Source organism: Homo sapiens, chromosome 21 (genome assembly GCF_000001405.40).
Source record: "Homo sapiens chromosome 21, GRCh38.p14 Primary Assembly".
Taxonomy (NCBI): Eukaryota; Metazoa; Chordata; class Mammalia; order Primates; family Hominidae; genus Homo; species Homo sapiens.
The window spans coordinates 36,123,659-36,130,467 of record NC_000021.9 but is presented as its reverse complement, the minus strand read 5'-3'; the positions used below and the strand labels follow the sequence as shown (position 1 = coordinate 36,130,467).

At 48.5% G+C, this 6,809-nt stretch overlaps 1 long non-coding RNA gene across 1 annotated transcript in view; it reads left to right on the top strand.

Moving 5' to 3' along the window:
• The window catches only part of CBR1-AS1 (CBR1 antisense RNA 1), a 56,999-nt gene continuing 54,017 nt past the window's right edge, over positions 3,828-6,809 (top strand). Inside the window, exon 1 of the long non-coding RNA NR_040084.1 lies at positions 3,828-3,981. This is a non-coding gene — a long non-coding RNA (CBR1 antisense RNA 1). The remainder of the gene's footprint in view (positions 3,982-6,809) is intronic.

Here is a 6,809-nt window from a genome sequence, read left to right as displayed (position 1 = left end):
GGTGCACGAGGATGAATGAGGAGGCGGCGGCGGCGGCGGCAGGAGCGGCTCCGCGAGGGGACGAGACACCGCGGGCCCAGCCCAGGAGGAGGCGGCAGCGGGGAGGGGATCAGCCCGGCCCAGGAGGAGGAGGAAGAGGAGGAGGCGGCGGCCCAGGAGGAGGAGATGGCAGCCGGGGGGGTGGCGGCGGCAGCAACAATCACCACAAACTCCGGCGACCGCCGGAAGATGGGGCCCACGGCGGCCTCACCTAAGCCCGGAAAGCCCTGGCCCCGGCCCCCGGCGTCCCCGCTGCTGCCCAGCCGGGGCTGGTTCAGCCGAGCCGCCCCCACGGCCCCCTCCCCTCCCAGCTGGCCTCCCCGAGCCACCGCGAGTGACCCCACCCCCGTGACTCCGCGCCCGCCCCCGCCGCGGGGCTCCCCGCACCCACCCCCACCCCCACCCCTGGCAGGGCCCTCCAGCCCGGCCGCCTATTTTTATTTTTATTCTTATTTATTTATTTTTTGAGACAGAGTCTTGCTCTATCACTGAGGCTGGAATGTAGTGGTGCCATCTCAGTTCACTGCAGCCTCCACCTCCTGGATTTAAGCGATTCTTGTGCCTCAGCCTCCTGAGTAACTGGGATGCACCCGCCACCAAGCCCAGCTAATTTTTGTATTTTTAGTAGAGATGGGGTTTCACCATGTTGACCAGGCTGGTCTCGAAGTCCTGACCTCAAGCACTCTGCCTGCCTTGGCCTTCCAAAATGCTGGGATTACAGGCGTGAGCCACTGCCCCTGGCTAGAAGTGTATTTTTTAAGTTTCCAACTTACTTGGGGATTTTTCCGGCTATCTTGCGATTGATTTCTAACTTAAATCCATTGTGGTCAATGAACTCACATTGCACAACTTAACTCCTTTTTAAAGAATTTCAAAAGCCGAGAGAGATATTAAAGCATGTTTTTATGTAATGACAATAATCTCAGAGAGAGAACAGTTGAAGAACAGGAAGAATTGCAAGAACAAAATGTGTGGGAAGACCAAGCACGGGTGGATCCAGGAATCAGGTGGGGGTGTGGAGGGGGAAACAGCACACCTCTTCTCTTGTAACAGAAGGAAAGGCAGAGTGTGTGGGTTTAGACCCAAGCATGTTGGGGAAACTAAGGCCTTCCTGAGGGCATCTGTTATCTCTTTGGAGGGTGAGAGATTTGAGGTCATCATTGAGAGGGATTAGTTTGGGGAAATTGAGGACAGTAGCCATTTTGCAGATTGGGAAAGTGATTTTTTTTTCCTGTGGCTCATACCTGTAATCCCAGCATTTTGGGAGGCCAAGGCAGGCAGATCACTTGAAACCAGGAGTTCAAGACTATCCTGGCTAACACGGTGAAACCCTATCTCTACTAAAAATACGAAAAAATAACTGGCCGGGCATGGTGGCGGTCGCCTGTAGTCCCAGCTACTCGGGAGGGCTGAGGCAGGAGAATGGTGTGAACCTGGGAGGCAGAGCTTGCAGTGAGCTGAGATCAGGCCACTGCATTCCAGCCTGGGTGACAGAGACAGAGTGAGACTCTGTCTCAAAAACAAAAAAACAAAACAAAACAAAACAAAAAAAAACCAGGTGTGGTGGCGTCCATCTGTAGTCTCAGCTACTCAGGAGGCTGAGGCAGGAGAATTGCTTGAACCCAGGGGGTGGAGGTTGCAGTGAGCCAAGATCACACCACAGCACTGGAGCCTGGCAATAGAGTGAGACTTTGTCTCAAAAAAAAAAAAAAGAAAAAGAAAGAAAGAAAGAAAGAAATGGCTCCGGTTATTGCCGTCGACAGAATAATGCCCCTCCCCCAAGAGGTCTGCATTAGAATCTGCAGAGCCTGTGAATTTGCTTTCCTTCACAAGAGGGACTTTGCAGAAGTGATTACGGATCTTGATGTGGGGAGATTAGCCTGGGTTACCAAGGTGGGTCCAGTGTAGACCCAAGGGTCTTTATGAGAGGGAGGCAGAAGGGTCCAAGACGAAGATGTGGTAGAAGCAGAGGTCAGGAGAGATTTGGAGATGGAGGAAGGGCATGTGCCAAGGAACACAGACAGCCTCCAGAAGTTGACAGGACAGCAGAGGGGTTCCTCCCTCAGGGATTCTGGAAGGAGCACGGCTCTGATACCTTGACTTTAGGACTTCTAACCTCCAGAATGATAAGATCATAAACATGTGTTATCTCACGCCCCTCAGTTTGTGGTAATTTGTTTTAGTGGCCATAGAAAGGACTGCAGTTACAGGAAGATTCCTACCTTCTGTCCTGGCTGAGAGGAAACACCTTTCTCTTGTACTTAGTACAGCATTGCGCAAATAATTGGAATTGTGAGCAGATTTTTTAAGAAAAAGACTGGGCCGGGCTCAGTGGCTCGTGCCTGTAATCCCAACAGGCTGAGGAGGGTGGATCACAAGGTCAAGAGATTGAGAACAATCTGGCCAACATGCTGAAACCTCATCTCTACTACAAATACAAAAATCAGCTGGGTGTGGTGGTGCGTGCCTGTAGTCCCAGCTACTCAGGGAGGCTGAGGCAGAAGAATTGCTTGAACTCGGGAGGCGGAGGTTGCAGTGAGCCGAGATTGTGCCACTGCACTCCAGCCTGGCAAAATACTGGTGGCCAGGCATGGTGGCTCATGCCTGTAATTCTAGCACTTTGGGAGGCTGAGGTAGGTGGGTAGCTTGAGTCCAGCCTGGGCAACATAGTGAAACCCTGTCTCTACCAAAAATACAAAAATTAGCTGGGTGTGGTGGTGTGTGCGGTAGTTCCAGCTGGGAGGATTGGGTGAGCCCGGGAGGTGGAGGTTGTGGCGAGCCGAGATGGCGCCATTGCATTCCAGCGTGGGCAACAAGAGCAAAACTCTGTCTCAAAAAAAAAAAAAAAAAAAAAGTTGTGGGTTCTGGTGGTTTACTGCTGTGATTCTGTTTAGATTGGCTTTGCTATCACTTAATGCCATTGTCCCTTTGTGTTTACCAAATCACTGGGTAAGAACCCAAACCTTTGCCAGTAACATGGCATTCTTCCAGGGTTCTTCTCCTTCCAAAGTCCTTTTGTGGTCTGAAGGACTGAATGTCCACAGCCGTTCCCTCATCTGCATCCAGCGACTGTCTGAGCACCTGTTAGGTACCAGTCATGCTCAGGAGTGAACAGAGGCCTGGGAAGGGCAGGAGTGGAGCTCCCTGCCTTCATGGCTCCTTATTGTAGCTCCTACTTACTCACTGTGTGATCGTGGGCAAGGTTCCCAATCTCTCAGTGTCTCAGTTTGCTCATCTGTACAATGGGAATAGTTTTAGTGCCTAGCTCTTACGATTGCTGTAAGGAGTACAGCATGAATGTTTAATATTATAAAAGTGCTTAGAGCAGTACTGACAAACGGTAATACATAAATGTTTGCTGTTCTTACATTTTTTCAGCAAAGGCAGGCAGACACCATCTAAAACCATACATTCATGTCTTTACAGCCATTGATTGGTGTTCTCCTGGGTAACAGGCACAGTCATGACTACCATTATTTGCTAGAGGCAGATAATGTGGGCAGAGGTGGGAGGTGAGGGGAACCTGTCTACAGCTTCGCCTTAAAGAAAGCGCTCTTGACTCCCATCGCGTTCTAAGAAAGTCTGGGTTGCAGAAGGCAAGCTTGGGCAGGAATGGGGCCCATTGTTTTTCTGGAAGCAAGATTAAGGTCAGGTTCTGAGTCAAATGAAGAGGTCAGCAAACAGCTTGGTAACTCCCCACCTCCTCTTCTCTATGCCTAGTTCTTCACTGCCTGCCCTTCCCAGGGGTGGGTCACAAAGTGGCTTAGGGTCAGGACAGTGAGGCTGTTGAGTGCCATGGGGGGTGTCAGGGAGAAGACAATTCCTACAATGCCACCTCATGTAGCTGAAACCTCGCCTTCCTCTCCTAAGTGTTCTGTGCCTGAGTGCTGGGGTCAGGATTATGCATGGTCCCAACAGGGCTTGACCAGGCAGGACAAGCAGGTGTGTGATTTGTATGCTTGAGGTCACCATGGTGGCTGTCCCTTTGCTACCCTGGAATTGGTTTCTGGTCTCTATATTCAGAGTGACTCAGGGAAAAGCATACTGCTTATTGTAAACACTGCTGACTTGGAAGAAGAGATTCTCCTTGCAAATGTGGTAGGAACCAGTTTAAGTGTGATGTCTGGAAGGCTGGGCTCTGTGCCTGAAAGGAAATCTGCCACACCCTTGCTAAACTGGACAGAGAAGGGGCCATGGCAGGCTGGTGAAGCACCTGTGCTGGGAAATGTGGGTCCGAAGGCCCCAGTCCTCTCCTTGGGAGCTGGATCAGGGTTTATTTTAAAGCCCATTCTTACCTCTTAGCTTGGCAAAGTATTGCCAAGCCTGGGGAAAACCAGCCATTCATGTATATTTCTGGCGAGTGTAATGTACCTCCTCTTTGGAGGGCAATTTGGCTGTTGTCTATTGAAATTAAAAATATGCGTCTCTTCCTGGAAAGGGAATTGTTGGGGGAATTTATCCTACAGATACCCTCCCGTGTGTGTAATGATAGCCGGACCAGGATGTTCTTTAAAAGTGGTTCTCAGCCAGTTTGTTACAAAGGTCATGAATTATTCAGCAAGATGATAATGGTTTTATGTTTTTAAAAATGATAAATTGTAGCCTGTTGATCATCGTTAAAAATATTTGAATGCTATTTGTATGGCTTTCTCTGTGAACTTCAGTGATTATTTTGGACAGTTTGTGTTTGTAGAACTTGCTGCCAGACAGTGCCCCTTGTGGTTGAGTGGCTGCACTACATGGCATATGTATCAGTTTCCTGCGGTCACCATAACTAAACACCAAATACAGGTGCAGAGCTTCATTCTCTCATAGTTCTGGAAGCCAGAAGTCCGAGATCAAAATGTTGTCAGGACCATGCTCTCTCTCCAAGCGCTGGGAAAGAATCCTTCCCTGCCTCTTCCACTTGCTGGTGGTTGCTAGCAATCTTTGGCATTCCTTGTCTTGGGGCAGCATCACACCAATGTCTGCCTCTGTCTTCATATGGCTGCTGTCTCTGCTGAGCATCTGTGTATGTCTTCTCCTCTCCTGTTCCTTTTTTTTTTAATTTTTTTTCCTGAGACAGTCTCACTCTGTCGCCTAGGCTGGAGTGCAGTGGCATGATCTTGGCTCACTGCAACCTCCGTCTCCTGTGTTCAAGCGATTCTCAAGCCTCAGCCTCCCGAGTAGCCAGGATTACAGGCGCCTGCCACTACACCTAGCTAATTTGTGTATTTTTAGTAGAGACACGGTTTCACCATGTTGGCCAGGCTGGTCTCGAACTCCTGACCTCAAGTGATCCACCCGCCTCAGCCTCCCAAAGTGCTGGGATTACAGGCATAAGCCACCATGCCTGACCCTTCTCCTCTTCTTATAAGGACATTAGTCTTCCAGCATAATCTCATCTTAACTAATTACATCTGTAAAGACCCTATTACCAAAAGGGCACATTCTGAGATGGCAGGTGGACATGAATTTTGAGGGGACACTGCAGAACTAACCCACTATAGAATCTTTCTTTAATGTTTCTATTGATCCCTTTCAACTGGTCTAATATATTATTTAGCCTGAATTTTTTTTTTCTTTTTTGAGACAGTGTCTTGCTCTGTTGCCCAGGATGGAATGCAGTGGCATGATAATGGCTCACTGCAGCCTTGACCTCCCAGGCTCAAGCGATCCTTTGTAGCTGAGACTACAGGTCTGTGCCACCATGCCTGGACAATTTTTTATTTTTATATATGTTTTTAAGAGGTGGGGTCTTGCTATGTTGCCCAAGGTGGTCTTGAACTCCTGGGCTAGAGCAATCCTCCTACCTTGGCCTCCTAAAGTCCTGGAATTACAGGCATGAGCCCTTGCATCTGGATAGCCTGACTTGTTTATCATAAATTCTTTTTTGAGATGGAGTCTTGCTCTGTTGCCCAGGCTGGAGTACAGTGGCACGATCTCAGCTCACTGCAACCTCTGCTTCCTGAATTGCAGAAGAATTCTGCAATTCTCCTGTCTTAGCCTCCTGAGTAGCTAAGATTACAAGTGTGCACCACCACACCTGGCTAATTTTTGTATATATATATGTTTTTTAGTAGAGATGGGATTTCGCCATGTTGGCCAGGCTGGTCTCAAACTCCTGATCTCAGATGATCCTCCCACCCCGGCCTCCTAAAGTGCTGGAATTACAGGCATGAGCCACCGTGCCCGGCCTATCATAAATTCTTGCCTGCATGTCTTAGTCCATTTGTGCTGCTATAACAAAATACATGAGACTGGGTAATTTATAAACAATAGAAATTTACTTCTTGTGGTTCTGGAGACTAGAAAGTCCAAGGTCAAGGTTCTAGGAAGTCTAGTGAGGGCCTGGTCTGTGCTTCCAAGATGATGCCTTGTTGTTTTGCCCTCCAGAGGGGATGGACGCTTTGTCTTCACATGGTGGAAGGGCAAAAAGGAGGGAAGCAGCTCCCTTATATATCTTTTATAAGGTCATTAATCCCATTTGTGAGGACAGAGCCCTCATGACCCAATCACCTCCCCAAAAGCTCCACTTTCTAATACCATCATCTTGGTGATTAGGTTTCAACATATAAATTTTGGGAGGACACATAATTCAAACTATAGAAGCATATATAAAGCTTAGTTTCCTTTTGGTACAGTTTGCTCTTATATTTATTTTTCTACCATCATAGGAGTTTGCTATGGTTTGAATGCTTCTCCCCTCTGAAACTCATGATGAAACTTAATCCCAAATGTAACAATATTGACAGGTGGAGCCTGTACGAGGTGATTGGGTCATTAGTGCT